The sequence below is a fragment of the Homo sapiens genome, chromosome 9, assembly GCF_000001405.40.
Source record: "Homo sapiens chromosome 9, GRCh38.p14 Primary Assembly".
NCBI lineage: Eukaryota > Metazoa > Chordata > Mammalia > Primates > Hominidae > Homo > Homo sapiens.
The window spans coordinates 78,157,878-78,183,645 of record NC_000009.12 but is presented as its reverse complement, the minus strand read 5'-3'; the positions used below and the strand labels follow the sequence as shown (position 1 = coordinate 78,183,645).

Below are 25,768 nucleotides of genomic sequence, written 5' to 3'. Positions count from 1 at the left end.
AGAAGGGTGGCAATGAGATGTAGCTGTAGTCCAGGAGTAATCAGGGAAGCAGATAATTTAGTTAAAGTGTCTCAGCCTAATAAGGGAACTGGGCAGGTGGGGATAACTAAAAAGGAGTGCTTAAAAAAGTATTGTCTAAGTTGGCACCAGAGTTGGGGAGTTTTAAGAGGTTTAGAAGCCTGGCCGTCAATACCCACAACAGTTATGGAGGCAAGGGAAACAGGCCCTTGAAAAGAAGGTAATGTGGAGTGGGTAGCCTCTGTATTGATTAAGAAGGGGACGGACTTACCCTCCACTGTGAGAGTTACCTAAAGCTCGGCGTCCATGATGGTCTACGGAGCTTCCGAGGCGATCGGGCAGCGTCAGTCTTCAGCCGCTAAGCCAAGAAGATCCGGGAAGGAGTCAGTCAGAGAGCCTTGGGCCAGAGTTCCAGGGGCTCTGGGAGTGGCTGCCAGGTGAGTTGAACAGTCCGATTTCCAGTGGGGTCCCGCACAGATGGGACACGGCTTAGAAGGAATCCCAGGCTGTGGGCATTCCTTGGCCTGGTGGCCAGATTTCTGGCACTTGTAGCAAGCTCCTGGGGGAGGTGGTTCTGGAGGATGCCTGGCACTGCAGTTTAGGCTTTTGGAAGTTCTTGTGTGCTGGAGATGTGGCTGGGGTTTGTCTCACAGTGGAGGCAAAGAATTGCAACTCAGAAATATGTTGCTATTTGGCTGCCTCTACTCTATTATTGTACACCTTGAAGGCAAGGTTAATTAAGTCCTATTGTGGGGTTTGAGGGCCAGAATTTAATTTTTGGAGTTTTATTTAATGTCGGGAGCAGATTGGGTAATAAAATGTATATTGAGAATAAGACGGCCTTTTGACCTTTTAGGGTCTAGGGCTGTAAAGCGTCTCAGGGTTGCTGCCAAACGAGTCATAAACTGGGCTGGATTTTTTTATTTGATGAAAAAGAGCCTAAATGCTATCTGATTTGGGATAAAGAAAAAGGAGCATTAACCTTGACTATGCCTTTAGCTCCAGCCACCTTTTTAAGAGTAAATTGCTGGCAGGTGGGGGAGGGCTAGTCATGGAACGAAACGGTAAGCCGGACTGGGTGTGAGGAGGGGAGGTGATAAAAGGATTATAGGGTGGAGGAGCGGAGGCTGAGGAAGAATTGGGACCTAGCTCGGCCTGGCAAGGAGGGGAGAGGTCAAATGGGTCTGTAGAAAAGGAAGATTAGAAAGACTCAGCAACGCTTGGGGTTGGGACTGAGGGGACAGGTGGGAGGGAAAGAAGGAGGATTTGGGAGGAATTGCACTGGGAACAGAGACTAGGGAGGGAACGAAGTGTGAAAAATGCCTGGATGTAAGGCACCTCAGACCATTTGCCCATTTTTTGACAAAAATTATTTAGGTCTTGTAGGATGGAGAAATCGAAAGTGCCGTTTTCTGGCCATTTACAGCCATTGTTAAGTTTGTATTGGGGTCAAGCGGCATTGCAGAAGAAAATAAGACACTTAGATTTTAGGTCAGGTGAGAGTTGAAGAGGTTTTAAGTTCTTAAGAACACAGGCTAAGGGAGAAGAAGGAGGAATGGAAAGTGGAAGCTTGCCCATAGTGAAGGAGGCAAGCCCAGAGAAAAGACAGTAGAGACACGAAGGGGTGGGGGGTTCTTGCCCTCCAGAAAAGCAGAGAAGCGGTTGGGGTGCAGAAATAAGTGGTTGGGGCACAGACATAAGAGGTCGGGGCATGGAAATAAGGAATTGGGGCACAGAGATAAGGGGTCAGGGCATGGAAATAAGGGATCAGGGCACAGAGATAAGGGGTCGGGGTGCAGAAATAAGGGATCGGGGCACAGAGACAAGGGGTAGAGGTGCAGAAATAAGGGATTGGGGCACAGAGATAAGAGGTTGGGGTGTGGAAATAAGGGATCGGGGCACACAGATAAGAGGTCAGGGTTCCTGCCCCTCCCCTAGAAAAGTGGGACTTGCCGCTAAGGGTGAAGGAGAAGGGGTTGAGGGGTTCTTGCCCCTCCCCCAGAAAAGTGGAGAAGGGATAGAGACATGGAGAGAAGGGCTTGGGGTTCTTGCCCTTCCCCCAGAAAAGTGGGACTTGCCACTAAGGACCAAGGCAGGCGTCCCTGCGTGGTCTGACACCTCTGAAACCTGGGTGAATAATCAGAGAGGTGCCCCTGCAATGATTAAGCACCAAGGGAAGGCTGCCTTCCCAGTCCATGACCGGAGCTGGAGTTTGGGGTCCACGGATAAAACATGTCTCCTTTGTCTCTACCAGAAAATGAAAGTAATTGAAATTAAGAGAAGGGAGAGATAGAAGTGTGGTGCCAAGATTGAAAGGAGAAAGAGGTTGAGGGATAGTGAGGGACGTTGGAGAAGAGAGTAAAAAGAGGCTGCTTACCAGATTTGAAATTGGTGAGATGTTTCTTTGGCTGGTTGGTCTGAGGACCTGAGGTTGTAGGTGGATCTTTCTCACGGCACAAAGAGCAGGAGGACAGGGGATTGATCTCCCAAGGGAGGTCCCCTGATCCGAGTCATGGCACCAAATTTCATGTGTGTCTGTGTGAAGAGACTACCAAACAGGCTTTGTGTGAACAATATAGCTTTTTAATCACCTGGGTGCAGGTGGGCTGAGTCCGAAAAGAGTCAGAGAAGGGAGATAGGGGTAGGGCCATTTTATAAAATTTGGGTAGGTAAAGGAAAATTACAGTCAAAGGAGGGTTGTTCTCTGGCAGGCAGGAGTGGGGGTTACAAGGTGCTCAGTCAGGGAGCTTTTGAGCCAGGATGAGCCAGGAGAAGGAATTTCACAAGATAATGTCATCAGTTAAGGCAGGAACAGGCCATTTTCATGTCTTTTGTGGTGGAATGTCATCTGTTAAGGCAGGAACCAGCCATCTGGATGTGTATGTGCAGGTCACAGGGGATATGATGGCTTAGCTTGGGCTCAGAGGCCTGACAACGAACACAAAGGGAAAGAGGAGAAGCACCCGATATATGTTCTCTAGGCCTTTTAGAAAATGTGGAGTTGTTTCTTTGGCCATGTATATGTGAATCTACGAGAAAGGTGATATCGTTGACATCAAGGGAATGGGTACTGTTCAAAAAGGAATGCCCCACAAGTGTCACCATGGCTAAACTGGAAGAGTCTACAATGTTCCCCAGCATGCTGTTGGCATTGTTATAAACAAACAAGCTAAGGGCAAGATTCTTGCCGAGAGAATTAATGTGCACATTGAGCACATTAAGCACTCTGAGAGCTGAGAGAGCTCCCTGAAACGCATGAAGGAAAATGATCAGAAAAAGAAAGAAGCCAAAGAGAAGGTACCTGGGTTCAAATGAAGCGCCAGCCTGCTCCACCCAGAGAAGCACACTTTGTGAGAACCAATGGGAAGGAGCTATGAGCTGCTGGAACCTATTCCCTATGAATTCATGGCATAATAGGTGTTAAAAAAGAAAAAAAGACCTCTGGGCTGTTTTCTGAATAGCCTTGAAAAATATATAACTCTGGACCAAACATTGGGCTATTTAAAAAACTCAGTAGATTCTAGGGAAATATACTAAGTTACGTTCTTTGACAATAATCAAATATAACTTAAAAATTAATATTAAAAGGTATTATATGTCTATGTTTAAGTCAGACATACAACTGGCACTTAAAAATAGTTTTCTAAGCAAATCATGGTTTGCAGATTTTAAAAAGCTCAATTACCAGTTAATTGTAAATAAATGATTATCAGAAGCCCATGTGCTATCAATAGGATATGGCCAAAGATACAGAGAGAAACACATTTATTACTAAATAGTAATGATTAAAAAATAAAAGGAAAACAAGACAAAGAAAGGAAGTGATCAATAAAGATATGAGAAGAAATCAATAAAATAAAAAGGAAATTAATAGTTCTTTTTTTTCCTTTTAATTGTAATTTTATAGCTCCCCACTCCATCTGCCCCGCCCCTTCCCTTCAATGATGACGTTTGCAGGTTTCAGGGGGACCAGGGAACAAAGCTGGAGCCTGGCAGCCCCACTATGCTGCCAGCCGGGGAGAGCAAGTCACAGTTACAAATTATCACAACAATTAGCGCCTGTACTTGGGGGATCTGCAAATTGAGGAGACCCCAACTCCTCATTGTACAGGGGTCTATTTGGCAGTGACCTTGCTCTGGAGACGATGATATTCCCTCAGCGTGAGGGAATTGATGTTGATGAACCTGATGGCATCAATTGGCTCATAATCATCCTGCACTTTCATGCTCACCAGCAACTGGCTGTAGAGAGACAGTGCGTACTCCCAGCTGAGGATGTACACCTGGCCCTTGAGGACGGACACCTGCACTTTCCCTTCTACTCGCTCCTGGAACTTGGCAATGCAGTGGCGGACAAATTCACACTCTGGTCTGTGCCAGAAACCGGTATACACCAGCTCAGCAAATTCCAAGCCCAGGCCTTGTTTGATTTTGCGCACTTCCAGGTCCATGGTGAAGGCCTTGATGTCTAAATGAGCGTGGTAAAGGATGGTGCCTGCTGGGGTATCCTAGATACCTTGGGACTTCATTCCAATGAAGCGGTTCTCCACGATGTCAGTATGGCTACACCCTGCTTGCCCGTGACTTCGTTTAGGTACATGAAAAGGAGGTACCAAGGTACCAAGGAGGTCTGGTGGGTGGTGCCATCCTTGACGTTGGTCACCTTCACAGGGACCCCGTTTTGGAACTCGAGAATATCAGGGGTGTTGGGGGCTTTGGCCAGGTCCTGGGTCTTCGTGTAGAGACCTGGAGGCACTTAGTTCTTGGGGTTCTCCAGGATTCCAGCCTCACAGCTGATGTGCATGAGGTTCTGTTCCATGCTCCATGGCTTCTTGGAAGTGACCAGGATGGGAATCCCGTGTTGCTTTTGTGTATTCTTCCATCAGGTCATTGAAGGCCTTGAACCAGTTGTAGAACTCGGGCATCCTCCAGGGAGCAATGACCTTTATCTGGGGGGGGGCCAGTGAGTAGCAGGTGAGTTCAAATCAGAACTGATCGGTCCCCTTTCCCGTGGCACCGTGGGACACATACTTGGCCCCCTCCTGCTGGACAATTTCCATTTGTTTGCAGGCAATGCAGGGCCTGGCAAGAGAGGTGCCCAGGAGGCAGTGGTCTTCATACAGTGCCCTGGACTGGATGGCCGGCCAGATGAACTCCTCCACAAACTCCCTGCTGGCATCCTCAATGAACACCTTTTTGGCCCCAAGCTTCAGTGCCTTCTTCCTGGCTTCCTCGAAGTCTTCCTTCTGGCCAATGTTGGCTAGGTAGGCAATTATGTCATAGCCTTGTTCCTTCGGCCACATGAGGATGCAGGAGGTGTCCAGGCCCCACTGTAGGCCAGAACCATGGAGTCTTTGCTGGACATAGCGTCTAGGATTGGAAGCACCAGTTGCCGGCATCTGGAATCTGTCTTCATGGTGTAGTGAACCACTCAGGCTTGGGCAGCGGTGGCAGGTGACAGAGCAGTGGAAATTAATAGTTCTTAAAAGGAAACTAAATGCTTATTCTTTGAGTATAATAAAACTAAATAGACAAACTTCGTTAAGATTGATCAAGAAAAAAAGGAAGAAGGGACACACACATAAACTCATTAGGAAGGGAAATAGAATATAAATACAATCAAGAACATTTAAAAATTAAAAAGAATAATATGTTAAGCTTTATGAAAATAAATATTAAAATTTAGAGGAAACAGATGATTATCTAGAAAAATATTAATCACCAAGGAAAACAAAAGAAAGGCCACAGATAAAACTTCAAGATAGGCTGGGCACAGTGGCTCATGCCTGTAATCCCAGCACTTGCGGAGACCAAGGTGAGTGGATCACCTGAGGTCAGGAGTTCAAGACCAGCTTGGCCAACATGGTGAAACCACATCTCTCCTAAATACAAAAAGTTAGCCAAGCATGGTGGCACATGCCTGTAGTCCCAGCTACTCCGGAGGCTGAGACAGGAGAATCACTTGAACTGGGGACAGGGAGGTTGCAGTGAGCCGAGGTTGCGCCACTGCACTCCAGCCTGGGCAACAAGAGCGAAACTCTGTCTCAAAAAAAAAAAAAAAAAAGAGAAAAGAAAACCAAAACAAAACAAAAACCTTCATGATAATCAAAACTTCATCCTCTTTCTAATAAAACACCCCAGACATAAATGGTTTTATAGCTGAGTGCAAACAAACATTCAGGAACCAGGTAACCTCTGTGTTTGTAAGCTCTCTCAGAACATTATTAAAAATACAAAGTTCCCCCAAATTATCCTGCAAGGCTGGCATAACCCTGCTACCAAAGCTCACAAAGACAATAGAATTAAAATAAACAAACAGAAATTACAGAATAGTATGACTTATGAACAGAGAGGCAAGAATTCTTAATAACTTTCTAGCAACTAAAGTATAGCAGAATATTTTTAAAAATGCTTCTAATTAAATAAGTAGATTTTCCACCAAGAATTTAAGAATGGAAATCTAACAGTATAATTCATTACATTTTTGACCAATAGAAGTGAAATTTATGATTATCTCACTAGACACCTAGTAAACATTTGATAAAATTCAGTGAGATTCTTTTTTGTTTTATAAACTCTAAACAACCTGGAGGAAAAGAAAACTTCAGCCTGCGTTATCTGAAAGCAGATGCTGAAACAGCATTCAATGTGCAAGATATTTATTAGGATTCACTCCCTGTGGAAGGGAGAAGGCAGCAGGATTTGGCAGAAAGAGAGAGAGAGCCCATCAGCGGTGTCCTGCACTGAACCTATAAAATCTGGCTTTTATACCCCTGCCTCGATCAATAATTGGATGCCCAGCACTGCAGGAAGGGTGTACTCTTGGCTGAGGCAGCTCCCTGTAGTTGAGGAAAACCCCGAAGGAATTGTAGCAGCAAGTCATTCCTTGGAAGGGGGTGGGCGGTGCATCTCCTACCCATCACAATTTGATTAAAAAAAAAAAAAAAGCAACTTAGAATCGCCTCCAGTAAAGGTAGACGTATTGATTGCTAACACTACTACTATTCATCATAGAAAATCATAGACAATGAAATAAAGCAGAAAAGAAAACTGTTTTGAGGTACACACATCGGAAAATGGAGACAAAATTATTATTTGCAGGCAATATGACTATACAGAAAACCAACCCCCCAAAAATTGAACTTTTATTTGTTCCACAAGATACACAGAATACAAAATCAACAGACAAAACTTTTCTAAGTAGCTTTTCTAAATATCCACACCCCCAATTATCATCTGAAAAAAATAATTATTAGGTGGATTAAATGAAGTTTTTCAAAAAAGCTTTAAAAACATTTTGTTAATATGGTAAATGAACTAATATGGACCCCTCTCCCTCAATCACAAGCACATTGAACTGCTGGATAAAATATGGGTTAAAAAAAATGTCAATACTTAACAGCTCAAAACAAAGAGGAAATTCTCCAGACAGCTCAGATGGAATACAGTTTCTAGAGGCTACAAGCACCCACCAGCCTAGAGGAGCTACAATATGATGTGAATGGCCACCATAGCACAGCTCCCATGGGGATCAGATTTCCTTAGATTTGGGCAAGAAAACAGCCTTGTTGAGAAGGATAATTCTAGATAAAACCAGGATTCTGGAAGGGCTGCCACTTCTGGAAAAGGAGAACGGAAAAAAACTATGTACCTGGTTCTGGGTGACCAAAAGAGCACTTGACCCTATGAGCCTCCAGGTAGAAATTAAACATGTCTACTGTAAGAAATCAAAGCCCCACATTTGGACCATGCATAGGGTGGAATAAAAATGTATATTACACATTTAGTATGACATTCCTTACGTTGAAATGTTAGTATAAAAACAGGTTTCAGGCCAGGTGTGGTGGATCACACCTGTAATCCCAGCACTTTGAGAGGCTGAAGCGGGTGGATCACCTGAGGTCAGGAGTTTGAGACCAGCCTGGCCAACATGGTGAAATCCCGCCTCTACTAAAAATACAAAATTAGCCAGACATAGAGGCGCACGCCTGTAGTCCCAGCTACTTGGGAAGCTGAGGCAGGAGAATCACTTAAACCCGGTAGGCGGGGGTTGCAGTGAGAGGAGATCATGCCATTGCACTCCAGCCTGGGCAACAAGAACAAAACTCCATCTCAGAAAAACAAATAAATAAAACAGGTTTTGGATTAGGGAAACCTCAGCTGAAGTAAACATTTAAACAAACATAATAAAAACACAGACCACTTTTATGGCTCTGTGCTTATAAAATTCCCACCAGGGAAAACAATTGCTAGCTCATTATAAGAAAATTACATGCCTCATGGGGAAGTGATTGACTCTGAGACAGTCAAAAGATAATGTAGGAGGATTATGACCTTAAGAATATGACCCTAAGTAATAAAATAATCTGAACAATTCTTTAAAAGAAGTATTTGTTAGTATTTATATAGATTTTTCTAAAGGAATAAATGCTATAATAAATACTATTGATTGCTTACCAAACAGTTATTTCTCCCAATTTCTGGCTTATCACAGACGTTATTATACTTTTGTTTAGATTTTAAAGCAGCTAGAGCTTCAGGGGAGCCTGGGTTCCTGCCCAGTCAGAGGAGACAGATCGTGATTGGTGTAAATCAGTCATGGTAACTCCATCTCCTTATAATTTAAGAACAGTGTGTGGCACAATTGTAGTCAACAAGACATGAGGAAAAATCTGTGAAGTTTATGGAAAAGTCTTCTTGGTTCATATACAGGGACATTTGAAGTGATATCCTCTTTCCGCCACTAGACAATCTATGTGAGGATGAGGTGCTTGGAGCTGCTGCTGCAGCTATCTTGTGAACCATGAGAGGAAAGGCCCAAGGCACAGCCAAACATTAAGGATGGAGAACAGAAAGATGGAAAGACCCTGAGTCCTTGATGATATAATTGATCCACTGAATTTAACTACTCTGGAGCTGCCCTATCTTTGAAGTTTTTATTGTGTGGAGTAAACTTATGGTTTAAATAATTTGCACTTGGTCTTTTATTACTTAAAGCCCAGATCAAACCAACTGATAAATTATACCAGGAAAAAGAGGATAATAGGGGCGGGGTTGGGGGGAAAGAACCGGCAAGTTTGAAAAGAACCAAATAATACTTACAGAAATGAAAAATGTGAGGTGTTGAAGTTATAAACTTGTTGGGCAGCTTAAACATCTGATTACTCACAACTGAAGTGACAACTAGGTAAACAGAGGACAGATCTGAGAATTCACACAAAATGCAGCCTGAAATAAAAGAAATATGAAAGACAGTCGTAAACCGACAGATAGAAGGAAAAGGTCTAATTCACATCTAGGCTCTCCAAAGGAAGAAAATAAAGAGAATAATGAGGCAATATTTGCTTATTTAATAGTGGGAAATTTTCAATAATTAATTAAATACATCCATATCCAGATGAGAGAGAAATAACGAATCCTAAGCAGGATAAAAATACTTCCTCAATGGTTACATCATAGTAAAAGGGAAAAGAGGGAAACCTTAAAAGTAACCAGAGAATAAAGTAGGATTATCTATGATGAAAAATATAATGGCCCCCTCACCAACAAGTATCTTCCTGACTCCACATACCACTGGCCTTCTTTTGAAAAATCTCATTAGAATGCTGATTTTGTTCAGATGTTGAATGAAGGTTTCTTGATCTCAGGAAAGATACACTTCATGTGGGAGAGGGACTCTTGCCAATGAAACATGAGAAATTTCCAGCCATGATGAGATCATTGGTACCTAACTATACTCTCATGGTTAAAAACAAAACAAAATAAAATTTATTGTGACTGTTTTTAGACATTTTCAATAGGTATTCCAAAACTGTGATCCCTGAGAGAAGGGAAATAAATACAGTGAGACCCATAAACACCCCGGATTTCTGCACAGACACACATTCTGCATATTGGTGTGAGGATAGGTGGCCCAGACAGAGCACAGCAGTCTCAAGGAGGTGAGGAGAAAGAGGCCATAATTCAAGAACCCTGAGATGCCCAGAATTTTCCTGGAAGAAGAGAGTGGTGTTGAAAAGAAGATCCAGAAATCTGCATAGTAGGCCAGACACTGAACTGGTCATGCACAGGGTTACTGCACCTGCCCAGGAAAGAACTATTACCAGGGAAAGAATGACTGTCAGTGTGCTGTGAGATGAACAATTTCCAGGGCTAGTGAAAGGGTCAGGGACATTTGAGTCCTGACCACCCCGAGCAGAGAGAATGTACTGAACACCCAGAGTACACAATAGAGGCCTGAGAAAGGCTATAATTTAGGAAGATGGCTAATTTAGCATGAAGGAGGGAAGCACCACTTAAGACTTTCCCAAACAAATCTTATAAAGATGACTTGGAAGGATTAAACTAATTCTCAAGTAAATTGCCTGCCTTTCAGAACAGAGCTCAAAACCCTGTTGAGGAATCAACAAAATCCAGATACTCAAGAAAATAGCTGAAATCCAGTATACAATGCAAAATTTCTACTCATGTGAAGAAGTAGGAATGTTTGAACCATATCTAGGACAAAAATCAATAAAGTTTGAAGAAATTGCCGAGAACAGCTCGGTCACGGAGACCCTAACCCAGTGGCGCTAGAGGAATTAAAGACACACACAGAAAAATAGGGTGTGGAGTAGGAAATCAGGGGTCTCACAGCCTTCAGAGCTGAGGTCCTCGAACAGAGATTTACCCACATATTTATTGACAGTAAGCCAGTGATAAGCATTGTTTCTATAGATTATAGATTAACTAAAAGTATTCCTTACAGGGAAACAAAGGGATGGGCTGAAATAAAGGGATGGATCTGGCTAGTTATCTGCAGCAGGAACATGTCCTTAAGGCACAGATCACTCATGCTATTGTTTGTGGTTTAGGAACGCCTTTAAGCAGTTTTCCGCCCTGGCTGGGCCAGGTGTTCCTTGCCCTCATTCCGGTGAACCCACAACCTTCAGCGTGGGCGTCATGGCCATCACCAACATGTAAGCAGAGAAAACAGTTTATTTTTACTCTTTTTAAAAACATTTTACTTATTTATTTATTTATTTTGTTTACTTGACAAATAGTAATGATAGATAGATAGATAGATAGATAGATATAATGGGGTATAATATGATGTTTACATATGAATATATTGTGATATGATTAAATCAGGCTAATTAACACATCCGTCACCTCACCAGCTTACTATTTTTTTGTGTGGTGAGAACATTTAAAATCTACTCTTCTAGCAATTTTGAAATATATGACACATTATTATTAACTCTAGTCACCATGCTGCATAATAGATCACTAAAATTTATTCCTTCGGTGTAACTGAAACTTTGCACTCTTTAACCAACCTCTCTCCTTTCCCCATCTTCACCCCCAGTCTCTGGTGACCACCATTCTACTCTCTGCTTCTATGAATTTGACTTTTTTTAGATTCCCCATGAAAATAAGACCAAGTATTTGTCTTTCTGTGCCTGGATTATTTCACTTATCATAATTTCCTCTAGGTTCATATGTGCTTGCAAATGACAAAATTTCTTCTTTTTAAGGCTGAATAGTATTACATTATGTGTATATATCATATTATCTTTATATATTCATCTGTTGATGGGTATTTAGATTGCTTCCACATCTTGGCTATTGTGAATAATGCTGCAGAGAACATGGAACTGCAGATATCTCTTTGACATTCTAATTTCAGTTCCTTTTACTATATACCCAGAAGTGGGATTGCTGGATCACATGGTAATTCTATTGCTAGTTTTTTTAAGAACGCTCATGCTGTTTTCCAAAATGGCTGCACTAATTTACATTCTCACCAGCAGTGTACCAGGGTTCCCTTTTCTCCACATCCTTGCTAACACTTATTATCTTTCATCTTTTTTATGATAGCCATTCATTCTAACAGGTGTGAGGTTATACCTCATTATGGATTTAAATTGCATTTCTCTAGTGATTAATGAAGTTGAGCATGTTTCATATATTTGTTGGCTATTTGTATGTCTTCTTTTGAGAAATGTCTATTCAGGTGTTTTGCCCATTTTTTTACTGGGTTATTTGTTTTCTTGCTATTGAATTGAGTTTCTTACATATTTTGTATATTAGTTGCTTTTTACTCTTAACAGTGTCTTTGGATGAACAGAAGTTCTTAAATTTAATAGGTCCAATCATCAATATTTTCATTTATAAATCGTAGTTTTTGCCCACCTCAAGCTCATGAAACTGTTTTGTTTTACAACAGTTATCATTTTATGTGTTATAGTTCCTGAGTGCTTGATTTTCATTCTCAATATTCTCATGTTCCCAAGATACTTGCTGGAACACCAGCAATAGTGTACACATGCCTGGTAACTGGAAGAAATGGAGTGGGAGGGACAAAATGGTATACCAAGACATCTACACATATTTGAAGCATCTGTCCCAGAAATCTCTCCTATCAATGTCTACATATAGTCTACATATAATTACATGACCATAGCAAGCAGCAAGAGAGCTTTTTAAAATTTCAGTTAAAGGTATTGCTCTCTTAAATAAAACTTGCTTCTATTATTAAAGATGGGAGAAATGAATATCGGTGGAGACTTCTGGCTGTTTACTGAAATCCAATCTTACCTTTTCCTTGGCACATGGCTGCTTAGCTAACGGTTATTTTCCTACCATATTTTATTGTTTTCTATGGCCTTGTCATTAAGTTCTGGCCATTGTAATGTGAATGGAAGTGGTGTGTGCAACATTGGCTTTACTTAGTTAAAATAAAATCTTTTACCTTGGTAGTTTCCTTTTCTTCTTCCTGTGAACTATAATATAGATATGCCTGCAACCCAGCTAAGAAGATGCATTTGAGGAAAACCCTTTAAAGATGGAAAAGAATTGAGATGAAAGGAAAATTGGTTTTCTCATGTAACGAAATAATGCCAGATCCCTACCTCATACCATCTAAAAATATAAATGCCAGAGGGATCAAAGATGTAAAATGTGATAAAACAAAATTTCAAAGACTTTTAGAAAAAAATCTTTATGGTCTCTGGATCAGAAGAGATTTCTAAATAAAATACAGAAACAAAAGAGAAAAGATTGAAAATTTTGACAATACTGAACTTCAAAACTCCTTGATGATAGAGGAAAATATAAACAAATTTAAAAGACAAGATAGACTTGTGGCTAATCTCTAATATGCAAACTGTTTTTACCCATTGACAAAAATTAAATTGCCTAAATAGAAATATAGACAAATATTTGCACAATCAATTTAGAGACAAGAAAATTCTAAACGGCCAAGGAACAGAAGAAGTTAGCTGGCCTTGCTGTTGATCAGGAAATGCCAATTAAAGCACCAAGGTATTTTTCCTCATAACAAAGATTGTAAGGACTGCAAATATCCAGTGCTGTCACAGAACAAGAAAACAACCTCACTACAAATACAGAAATCATTGCATAAATCGGCAAAGATTCATGCTACAAGATATTATGCAGTTATTAAAAGAATGAGGTAGCTTCATATTTAGAGATCTGTTTCTGATCTTTTTAAATGAAAAAAGCCTGGTACAAAATAACAAGCATAGAATGATATTATTTTTATAAAATCAGATGACCCTCCTTCTTGTAAGCAAGCAAAACAAACCTCTGTAAATGTGTGTAAAAGAAAAACATTGGTTGATATTAAGTGGGTCCATTTACTAAGGCAATTCCTGCATTACAGTATGAGAGCTTTCAAGCAGCTGTGAGCAATGCACTTTTTGGCTATTGGCACTGCTATTCCATTTACTTGTTTTCCATTATTTATAAAACCTAATATACAAGTTTTGGCTTTTATGGTAATACCATTCCCAAGGGCACATTGATAAAGTAGATGAGGGCTTAGCCAAGCGACCTGCACAGGCTTGGATGTTGTTAGTACTTCTTTGATATTTGCATAAATGCTTCTGAAACCTTTTAGCAGGGTCAGTGGGCAAAAATGTGCTGCCTGTGCCCGTGCGTATCCAAATCTTCAAAAGTTGAATCTGCTGCGAATTTTGTTCTCAAAATCATTTTTATGTTATTCTGAAGTTGCAATAAACCAGCTTTTTGAAAAGGCTGTTAATCTATGAGGCAGAATCTGCCATGTAGCCAAATCACTTTTTTTCAGTATGTTTGACACTTGGGTAGAAACATTAACTTGTTCATGCCATTTGGGATACTATTATTTAGTGCACCAGTAATAGCTAAATGCTTCTCTGGGTAACACTTACTCCCAGGGAGATTCTTGAGAAGAACAGAATTCATTATGTTCACCGATGCTGTGACATTAGGAATCAACAGAGAAACACAGCAATCATAGGGAGATACACAAGCCAGGGAAGGACGAGGACACGGGCCACATAATACAATAGAAAATACGCTCTGCTTGCTGGGGCTGGAGACCTGTACTGTAGACCCAGCTGTGCCATTAGTTGTCTAACTCTCTATGCTGTCATCTTCCCATCCAAGAACAAGGAGCTTGTCTTAGATTGTGGTTTTTTAGGTAATGTTTCTCTAATTCGTAGGCTTCTCGGGGGTGACTGTGGGAGATGTACGTTAGAAGTACTAATGAAGATGGGGCACTAATCTCAGGCCTGGTGAAACCAGAACAGCTCTGCCTGTCTTTGTTTTTTTGTTTTGTTTTGTTTTGTTTCGGACAGAGTCTCATTCTGTCATCCAGGCTGAAGTGCAGTGGCTCAATCTCGGCTCACTGCAACCTCCACCTCCTGAGTTCAAGTGATTCTTTTGCCTCAGCCTCCCGAGTAGCTGGGATTACAGGCGCCCACCACAACTCCCAGCTAGTTTTTGGATTTTTAGTAGAGACGGGGTTTCACAATGTTGGCCAGCCTGGTCTCAAACTCCTGACCTCAAGCGATCCGTCCCCCACTTGGCCTCCCAAAGTGCTGGGATTACAGACATGAGCCACCGTGTCTGGACTTTTGTTTTTTATATTAGTGTTCTATGTAACATTTGGTATGAAATAAAGTTTGAAAACCCCTACACAAGATTATTTACTTGCTCTCAAGCAGTCCTCAAAATTCTGTGGTTTTAAGTACAGATGGAAGATATTACTGTGGACTTTCTTTAATGCACAGTCTTTACTTTGTCAACAGGAATGTTTCCCAAAGTACATTCTTTGGAACTCTGTTTGGTGTTAATAGAAAAAAGGGGGAGGGGGCTATTATGTAGACAAATATGTCTCATAAAATCTTCATCGCAGGACTTAGTCCAATGTGATGGGATCCCTTAAACGCTTTTCCCCATATTTCTTTGCACTTTATGTTTTTGATCTGATTTCCACTGAGCTCCATCTTCCCACACTTTTCCACTATGATCCCAGGAAGCTGGAAGTTAGGACTTCTACTTGCGAATTTGGATGCTGGATGGGGGACCACAATTCAGTCCATGCCAGGAGTCATTTGTTACTGGGACATAGCCTAGTGTCTCCTCATATACCATCTACCTGCTTGCAGACACCAATATTTGGATGTAATATATATATTTGGATACCAATATATTAGCAAGTCCTGTAATATTTATCTTTTAAAGATCTCTATAAAATGTTCAGCATCGGCTGGGTGCGGTGGCTCACACCTGTAATCCCAGCACTTTGGGAGGCCAAGGTGGGCAGATAACCTGAGGTCAGGAATTTGACACCAGCCTGGCCAACATGACAAAACCCTGTCTCTACTAAAAATACAAAAAATTAGCCAGGAGTGGTGGTGGGTGCCTGTAATCCCAGCTACTCAGGAGGCTGAGGCAGGAGAATCACTTGAACCTGGAAGGCAGAGGTTGCAGTGTGCTGAGATCACGCCACTGCACTCCAGCCTGGGGAATAGAGCAAGACTCTGTCAATAAATAAATAAATAAATAAATAAATATCCTTTTCAGTGGGAACTTCCAGATCCCTGGTGAACACTGCTCTCTTGAGTATTGAGAATAGATTTGAAAAGAGTGAGGAAAGAAAAAACAAAAAAACAAAAAAACAGTGCATCAAGTATAAGCCTGATTACTTCTCCAAAGTGGGCTGGACAGATTCCATGTCAGATCACCGGGGTAGGGCTTCCCGGTATGCTAACAGGCTGTGGCACCTCAGACTATGTCAATAGAAGAACTTCAGGATTCCAACAGCCACCTGGCAACACTAGTGTTTTCTCTGGAGTAATCTGATCCTGCCATAACATAAGTAAGTAGCAACAATAACTAAAGCCAATGCAGATACAAAGACTCCAGAAGGAAACACAGCAAAATGTTAACTATTGTTTTCTCTAAGAAGTAGAACTAAGAAGGAGTTTTGCTTCTTTTGTTTGTAAAACTTTCTGAATTGTATGACTTTTTTCTTTTTCTTTTCTTTTTTGTTTTTTTGAACAATAATAGGTTTCTGTTTTAAATCAGACAAATAAAAGTGTCTCAAATTTGGAAGGCAACCACTGTCACCCAACTCAATACAGAGAATGGGTAATATGATATTTAGCTTAACCAGAAAGAAAATTTCTTGATTAGCTGGTAAATAAAAACAAAATAGAAAAGTGGGCATTAATATTCCCATTTTACTAGCATTGATTATTAGATTGCTGTGTTTATTACAAGGCTGTACACTATAAGCTTACCACGGATATACTGAAAAGTTTCTATGGCTTCAAGGTACAGAACATCTGACTAAAATGGCTTAAATCATAGAGGTTTATTCTTACATAACCAGAATGTGCAGGTAAGTAGCACTAGCTTCAGCTTCTCTGCTATTCTTTTGGCCTGTCCTCATGGCCTCAAGATAGCTGTTGTAGTTCCAAGCCTCATGCTTTTGTCAGGGAAAAAAGCAGGAAGAAGGGGAGACCTTCTACGTTATTGAAGAAGAAAATCGTTCCTAGAAGCTTTCCTACCACATTCCTCTCAGTTCTCATTAGCCAGAATTGGGTCACTTGCCCATTCTCTGACAGCAAGGGATGCTGGGAAACAATATTTGGCATCTTCCATCTGTGGTAAAAAGCAGTCTCTTCCCACTAAGGGGCATCATGAGCACAAAGAGCAGATAACTTGGAGGAGAGAATCCAGAGATAAATATATCCAGAAATATTAAGTCCTTTATAAAATCTTTTATAAGCATCTGAAATTTCTTAGCTTGAGTAAAAGAAAACTAAAGATCAGATTAATAACATGCTTCAACAGTATGACATTTTTATGTCACAGTTATCTGCTCACTATCTATCCTATGCAAAGGATGATTCTCAATGCTTTAAAAAAGTATGAAAGTGTGATAAGGGGAGGAAAAGTACCTACTACATGCTTACTCTAAGTCAGGCACTGTAGTAGGTGATTTAAATATATTATTTCAATTACTCCTTTAAGAGAGCTACTGGATTTATTTTATAGATGAGGAAATGGAAGCTTCAGGGAAATAGAGCATTTTTGCCACTTTCCCTTTCTGGGACTTTACACCTCATACCAATTCTACAGTTAGCAAGACCTCTTCTAGGAAAAAACAACAACAACAACAACGACAACCAGATTACACAGGTATACACAGAATATGACTAAGTAAAACCGTGAGTTTATGCATTGATAAAAGATAGCGGAGGTAAATATGAATGATCTCAAAGCTGGTTAGGCTTTGATTATTTTCCCTTTAAATTTTCCTAATCCAGGCTGGGCACGGTGGCTCATGCCTGTAATCCCAGCATTTTGGGAGGCTGAGACGGGCAGATCACTTGAGGTCAGGAGTTTGAGACCAGCCTGGCCAACATGGTGAAACCCTGTCTCTACTAAAAATACCAACAAACAAAAAATCAGCTGGGCATTGTGGCACACACCGGTAATCCCAGCTGCTCGGGAGGCTGAGGCAGGAGAATCACTTGAACCCAGGAATCGGAGGTTGCAGTGAGCCAAGATCATGCCGCTGCACTCCAGACTGGGTGACAGAGTGAGACTCCATCTCATAAATAAATAAATATTCTTAAGCTTAATGATGTTTTAAGAGCTTGTTTGGAGGTTCTAGCAAGGGAGTACAGCTACTTGTACACCCTTGACAGAAGAACAGTCCTCTTCTATGGAGGAAGGATCTGATCAATCCCAGGGCTTTGGTTAGGATGCACCTGGAGCAGTGAGGTAGAAAGGGGACACCCACCTAGCTAGCCAGATCAGCTGAATCAACCCTGCCAATCAATGAGGTGACAGATGTCACAGCCAGATTGCCCTCACATCCCTTAATGGCGTTTTGAAAGTTGAAGGAGCTTTTGAAAGTTTTTGTATAGGTCCAAGCTAAGATGTAAAAGCACTGGAATACTATGCAGCCATAAAAAAGATGAGTTCATGTCCTCTGCAGGGACATGAATGAAGCTGGAAACCATCATTCTTAGCAAACTATCACAAAGACAGAAAACCAAACACCGCATGTTCTCACTCATAGGTGGGAATTGAACAATGAGAACACTTGGACACGGGGCGGGGAACATCACACACCGGGACCTGTCAGGGAGTGGGAAGCTGGGGGAGGAATAACATTAGGAGAAATACCTGATGTAAATGACGAGTTGATGGGTGCAGCAAACCAACATGGCTCATGTATACCTATGTATCAAACCTGCACGTTGTGCACTTGTACCCTAGAACTTCAAGTATAATAATTTAAAAAAAAAGATGTAAAAGCACTGTGTTTGGCTAACTGTGAATAGTTCATTTCCATATTCATGTTGTTTCAATGGTTTAAAAATAGGAGTTTTCACCTTATATATATTATGTTCTTATATTCATTAGCATGTGGTATGTCCCATTATTAATACTTTAAATTAGTTTGTTTAGTGAACAGTTTAAAGATATACTTTTTGCCCAGATAAGTAAAATACAGTCGCTTAAAAGGTTGAAGTATGTTATTTTTCCTCTTAAAAATGTATTCATGTAAGTTATAGAAACTTTGTAATTAGAAAGAAAAATAATCATCCATTTCTTACATGATATGAAGACACTGAATTTGTCCAGAATTTTATTTTTATTTTTTATAAAAGACTGTTTACTTTTTTAATAAAATAAAACCTCTATAATGTTTATAAAAACGGCCATCTATTCCCCACACTTCTACTTCCCAATTTTTGTTCCCCAGGTGCAATTATTCTAAATTTAACTTTTTGTCTTCTATTTAAAAAAAAAGGTTAGATATTATCTGTTGACTTTCTCCTACGGAAGACGAAAGTTCACACCTTTGTTTCTTTCCTGCCCCTTGCCTCCCAAATATGCACTTCTCCTCCCTCAATTATCCCCACAGAATTATATCACAACTCAATACATATATTCCATAAGTATATTATGACTGTACAAATAATATTCACAACTGAGCCATGAAATTAACTTTGATTACATTTTCTTTATTGTACAACTTTTCGTATTACACAGTGTAAATATTTTCCTTGATCTTCTGCTTGCTTCATGTTCTATGTTGTTATTAAAAATTTATTCTCAAATTATCTGAAAGAAGCAAAATCTGAATTTAATTAATTACATCAGGAAAATCTATCTGCTTTTTTTCCTTTACTCTTTTCTTTTCCTTATTTTGTTGTTTTTTGGAGTCACCCTTCCTGAAGCCCTTTGTCCTCCACATCCAATCTAGACTCTCTGGTCTCCTTTCAATTGCTATTTGGGATGGGTATAAAATTCTAGGTTGAAAAGTCACTTCCCTTAGATTTTTGAAGCCATAGTTTCATCGTTTTCTAGCTGCCTTCTAATTCCCATTTGTATGTATGGACCTGATTTTTCTCTCTGAAAGCTTTTAGAATTGTAGTTCTACCCCTGATAATCTAAAACTTCGTGATGATATCTTTTGGTGTGGAACATATTTTTCATCTATTATGCTGGGCCCTTTCCCTCTGAATTTCTATCCTTCAGTTCTGGAAATTCTTATTTGGATAATTCCTTAATAATTTTCTCCTCTTTACTTTCTCTGTTCTCTCTTTCTAGAATTTCTGTTAGATGTAAATGTCTGATCTTCCTGTCTGATCTTCTAATTTTCTTATCTTTTCTCTTCATTTCCATCTCATTGTCTTTCTGTTCTAATTTCTAGAAGATATCCTCACTTATTCTGCAGCCATTCTATTGACTTTTACATATCAGCTATTATATCTTTAAATTCAGTACAGCAACCTGACCCACTTTTGAATGTAATAACTTTTCTCATATCTCTGAGGATGTTAATGATTTGGAGTCTTCTTCTGGTTTTGGTATTGACTACTTTTGGTGTTTCTTTTTATTCCCATTTGATCTGGTCTCTATGCTTAACTGCAGGGGTTGTTGTCAAATGGCTGGTGATTCTTGGCTTTCCAAACATGTTAATATGTGAAGGTCTCAAAAGCTGACTGGAAGCTTTTTGTGAAAGTGGGTGATGGGCTTTCCTAGAAGACAGCCTGGCTGTTCTGTGAGGGAATCTCCACTTGTCAATATCTTAGGCCTTTTTTCATAAGCCAGAATAGAGAGGAATTCAGCCTTCAGTCTTAAAAAAGTATATGATCTGACAAACTGTGTTCTTGGAGATAAGTAGAAGAAAATAAAACAGGAGTGATCTTTCAGTCACTTAACAGCTCTCTTTTTCTACTATGACCCATTCAATAAATTATCTGAATACCTTGACTTCCCCTAGTTTAACTTCCTTCTCAATAAATCTTGTCTTTTACTAGGGATTGTCTCCTGACTGTGAAGGTAGCAAGGATACATAAAGGGTCTAAATGTTTTTAAAATAGACTTTTAAGCAATTCTGAACCTCTGCCATCAAAGATGATCAGCTTTGTCAATTCCTCAGTCTTTTATAGAGTGTGGAGGCATGAACTGGCCTCCTTCTTATTTCTCCCTTATTTCCTCAGCTTTCTCTGGTTTTTCAATTCAGTTACCCTTGTGTATCTGCTTTCCAGAATCTAAAATTTAAATGAAGCCTCTCATCTTCTAGCATCTATAACCACATTTTCTTTGACTTCTTGGTTTATTGTTTGTTTGTTTTAAAACAACTATTTTATTGTTATTGTACTCTGGGTTCAGGAGGCAGCATAGGAAAATGCTCGCATTCAGTTTATAATATTTAACTGAAGTCTCGTCTAATATTCCATATGCTTTTGAGTTTGGTTTACACAGTTTTAATCATATTGAGGAATACAATTTAGTGTCCTGCTTTTAAAATGTATCATTTATCATAAGCATTTCCCAAGATAATATGTCAATACTTTTTGAACACTAGGATGATGTTTATAAAATTCATTCTTATTTCAAGTATATAGCTAGTCTAGTCTCTAATAAGCCATGGTGTTCTTCTCTGTGTGTGTGTGTGTGTGTGTGTTTTACATATGCACAATGGTCTGGGAAATGCTACCAAATCATTTGAATATAGCCACTGAGTTACAGAATATCAAATAATAATCTCACATCTGTTATATAGTATCATGGAGATAATGTTCACGTTCCTTGAAGAGGGAGAAATGAATTTCAGTTCATTAAGCATTAGGGAAAAAAATGATCTCTTATCTAAGAAAAAAACCTCACACTCAGTAATTAAAATCAATCATGAACATGTCCTTAATGATATAGGAATGGCGAAAGCTACTAATTTCACTACTTTGCTCAAACACATGGAGAGCTTTCCATATATTGAACATATTTCTGAGTTTGAGCAAAAAAAATCGAAAGACAGACTAAAGGCCCTGTTTGGCTTTTAAAATATCCAAATTAGCACCTAGGATGCTTAAATATCAGTATTGATTATGTGTGTGTGGCAAGAGGTGTAAAGGTTGCTGGTCTTATGTGCTTTTTAAAAAAAAAAAAACTCCGTATTTTTGTACCCACTTTAGTTTTCTGCTCTGACTGCTTTCTGTACCCCAGTCTTCCAATCTGCCTGTCAGCATTTGGTCCTTTCACATTTGATATATAGGACACACACAACCAGATACTTTTTAATACAGATGTACACATTCCTTTTCTATAAACTTTATATACATCCCCAGAAGGAGTCAATATGTGTCTGATATAAAATTACGGTCATGGAAAATCTAATGCAGCTTTCAAATCATTAAGACTTTCAAAATTCTAATCAACAATAGAAGCATGGGCCCTGTTTATATTTACCAGATGCCCAAAAACAACTGCTTCCACTCCTGTTTTCCTCCATTTACATTAACAAACCATCTTTCGTAAAGCCTGAGACTTTTTCCTCCTAATCAACGGGGTGATGGCTGTTGGCACTGTTGTCTATATTTTGCTGCCTTACTCTTGCCACGTAATATAATAAAAGGCAAGGGTTCTGAGGAAAATAACAGATAATCATTATTCAACTATGTCTTCAATGATGACACATTACTATCTAGAAAGAGCTTTATTCTATACTAAAGCTATTTACATATGTCTATTCCATCAGTAAACATCAGTAAAATGAATTCAGAAGCCATTTGGATGAAATTAAATAAAGAGACAAATAGGGTGAATGTTATAAGAGAATATATTTTACAAACTGCCTCAAAAATGCTTCCCTCATGCAGATGACAAAATTGGACTAGAGACAAGATATAAAAAGGATGGGGAGCTTCTCACGAGCAGATAGATGTCTGCTCAATGTCCCATTCTTCTAAAAACAGAGCACTGGTAAATTCTGCCCTGATGATCACTTTCTTTCAAAGTGTGCTGTGGAAGAAGTGAGGGCAAAGACTAACTTGGACCTAATTCTTAAGAACAAGGAAAAAATTATCGTGAAGTAGAATGATAGAATTCTGAGTACTATCAATGTGAAGAGTATCAGGATGAAGGACGGGAAAGCTGAGAAATAATCATGCGTATCCCTTAAGACTGTAAAAAAGTAGTTTTAAAAATATAGAAAAAAAGATAAAAGCCCAGAGAATAAGGGATTCTATAAATAATTTTTTTTCTCTCTAATCTGGAATGTTTTTAATGCAAAAGAAAGTTCTTAAATGTACTTGATGGTATAGAAAGCCAATTGTGAGTTTATAGTTTAAAAGAATATGTGGCCGGGCGCGGTGGCTCACGCCTGTAATCCCAGCACTTTGGGAGGCTGAGGCAGGCGGATCACGAAGTCAGGAGATCAAGACCACCCTGGCTAACACGGTGAAACCCCGTCTCTACTAAAAATACAAAAAATTAGCCGGGTATGGTGGCGGCCACCTGTAGTCGCAGCTACTCGGGAGGCTGAGGCAGGAGAATGGCATGAACCCAGGAGGCGGAGCTTGCAATGAGCCGAGATCTCACCACTGCACTCCAGCCTGGGTGACACAGCGAGACTCTGTCTCAAAAAAAAAAAAAAAAAGAATATGTACAGAAGTTATGTCCCTTATAATGCTTGAATTCCAGGAAGGTGAGACATAGATTAGTACATAATTGCAGTAGCTAAACTTCTTAGGTTAGGAGTTTTTACTAGTTATTAGAATATCCTGCTCATTTTTTCTTCCAGCCACGAGGCACTAAGAGTCTGCAATTAACCTTTCGTCACAAACAACTAGAAAGATGAATGAAATTTAGGAAATATCTATATTCAGACATTAAACAAAAGTAGCAATGAATTTTGACTCCTGAAAAAAGAGAAATAAAAGAAGTGAACCCTACCATTGCCTAGGTTTTTTCTCTCCTGGGATAGGTCTTGAACTGTGACACAGAAAGAGTTTGGCAATCTTCAGAAATTAAGGAGACAGAGATTATATTTCAGGCAACTAGAATTTGTTGAACAGAGTACCCAAGAGGACAGATATACACAGAGAATAAACTCTATAAATTCACATAGATGTTTCCTCACATTTTGATAAAATATTTATCTGCAGAAGTATATGATGAGAGCCCATGGAGCTGGGAAAGAACAACTCTGGAGGAAGAAACAATTACTGGGGAGCTGTTAGATGAACAATCCCCAGACTCACACATAAATTATTAGTGTTTTTTACAACCAAACTGGAGAGACACTGCTGAGTACATTTAGTACCACTCAGATGCACCTCAGAAATGGGATGAAAAAAATTATTTCCAGAAGAAGGCTCTTCTAGACCCACTCTGAAAGAGTGGATCTTAAAACAACCTCAAAAAGTTCAAGCCAAACTGCCAATAACCTATCAGCAAGAAAATATTCAACATTTTTAAAGGAATACAACATTCAGCCTTAACAATATAAAATTTACCATGTCCAGCATCCAATCAAAATTACTAGACATATAAGGAAGCCCAAAAATGGGACCTGTGAGAAAAATTATTTACTAAAAATAGACCCATAAATGGTAGAGATAATATAATCAACAGAGTAGAAGATTAAAATAGCTATTATAAATGATCAATGTTAAAAAAGGTAACACAAAAACATGATTAGGAGACAAATTGATAATACTAAAAAAAACATGAGGCCGGGCATGGTGGCTCACACCTGTAATCCCAGCCCTTTGGGAGGCTGAGGTGGGTGGATCATCTGAGGTCTGGAGTTCAAGACTAGCCTGAAAAACATAGAGAAACCCCATCTCTACTAAAAATACAAAATTAGCTGGGCATGGTGGCGCATACCTGTAATCCAGTTACTCAGGAGACTGAGGCAGGAGAATCACTTGAACCCAGGAGGCAGAGGTTGCAGTGAGCCGAGATCATGCCATTACATTCTAGCTTGGGCAACAAAAGTGAAACTCCGTCTCAAAAAAAATAAATAAATAAATGAAACAACTATAAATAAGATCAAATAAAAAATCACATTGAAAACTATATTAGATAAAATTAACGGATTATAGACATTGCAGAAGAAAATAAAATCAGTGAACTTGAATGCAAGCAAGTTTTTTGGAGCACAGAGAGTACAGAGAAGAAAAAAGTACCAGGAAAAAAATGCACAGAGCATCAGTGAGCCCTGGAAAATATAAAAAAGATGAATATATATATATATAATTGGATTCCAAAAAGAAGAGGAATGGAAAAGGAAGAAAAAATATTGAAAGAAACTTTAGTCAAAATATTTCCAAACTATGAAAACTAAAAACTATAATTTTAATAAAATCAGTGGATAGCAAACAGAATAAAGAAAACTACCCTGAGGCACACCAGAATCAAATTGCTGAAAACAAATGATAAAGAAAAAAATCCAAAAAGCTGCTTTAGAAAAAAAAAGACTCTGTATGTACCAAGGATCAAAGATAAGAATGACCTCAGATATTTCCTCATATGTTTTGCAAGCCAGGAAACGCTGTAGCAACATATTTAAAAGAAAGTAAAACACTGTCAACTGAGATTCTATAACCAGTGAAAATATCTTTCCAAAATGAAAACAAAATAAAGAAAGTTTCAGAAAAACAAAAGCTGAGATAATTCACTGCCATTTGTGAGGCTCTTGCTATATGCAGGAAGTTGTATGATATTTGAAGGTAAAATGTGACAAGATAAATATTTTATCGTAAACCCTAGAACAAACCTAAAAACATAAAACAAAATGTTATGTTTAATAATGCAATAGTGGAAATAAAGTGGAATCATAAAAATACTAAACAAAAATGTGCTGCCAAGAGAAGGCTGGAAAAGAGGGAAGAAATAAGGAACATATTCAAAGAGAACACAAATAACAAGATGGTAGATTTCGATGCAATCATATAATCAAATGTAAATGATTTTAAAACTTCAGTTGCAAATCAGAGATTTTACACCCCATAAAAAAGTAATATCCAATCATAGATATCTACATAAAAACTACTTTAAGTATAAATATACAAATAAGTTAAAGGCAAAAATTTGCCAAAGGTTAACCATATAAACACTAATGAAAAGAAATTTGGAGAGGCTATATTAATATGAAAGTACA

At 39.2% G+C, this 25,768-nt stretch overlaps 3 pseudogenes, besides 1 other annotated feature; 1 reads left to right on the top strand and 2 right to left on the bottom strand.

Annotated features, from left to right (window-relative positions):
- On the top strand, positions 2,953-3,466 carry RPL21P84 (ribosomal protein L21 pseudogene 84; annotated as a pseudogene).
- On the bottom strand, positions 3,905-5,484 carry ASS1P3 (argininosuccinate synthetase 1 pseudogene 3; annotated as a pseudogene).
- Positions 5,790-6,003: a silencer, noted in NCBI's record as "fragment chr9:80792559-80792772 (GRCh37/hg19 assembly coordinates)". NCBI's record gives its function as "represses an EF-1alpha promoter that drives an FKBP-Casp9 reporter gene in an ReSE screen in HepG2 liver carcinoma cells {active_cell/tissue: HepG2}" and the evidence as "EXISTENCE:reporter gene assay evidence [ECO:0000049][PMID:32094911]".
- RN7SKP59 (RN7SK pseudogene 59) lies at positions 17,868-18,181 on the bottom strand (annotated as a pseudogene).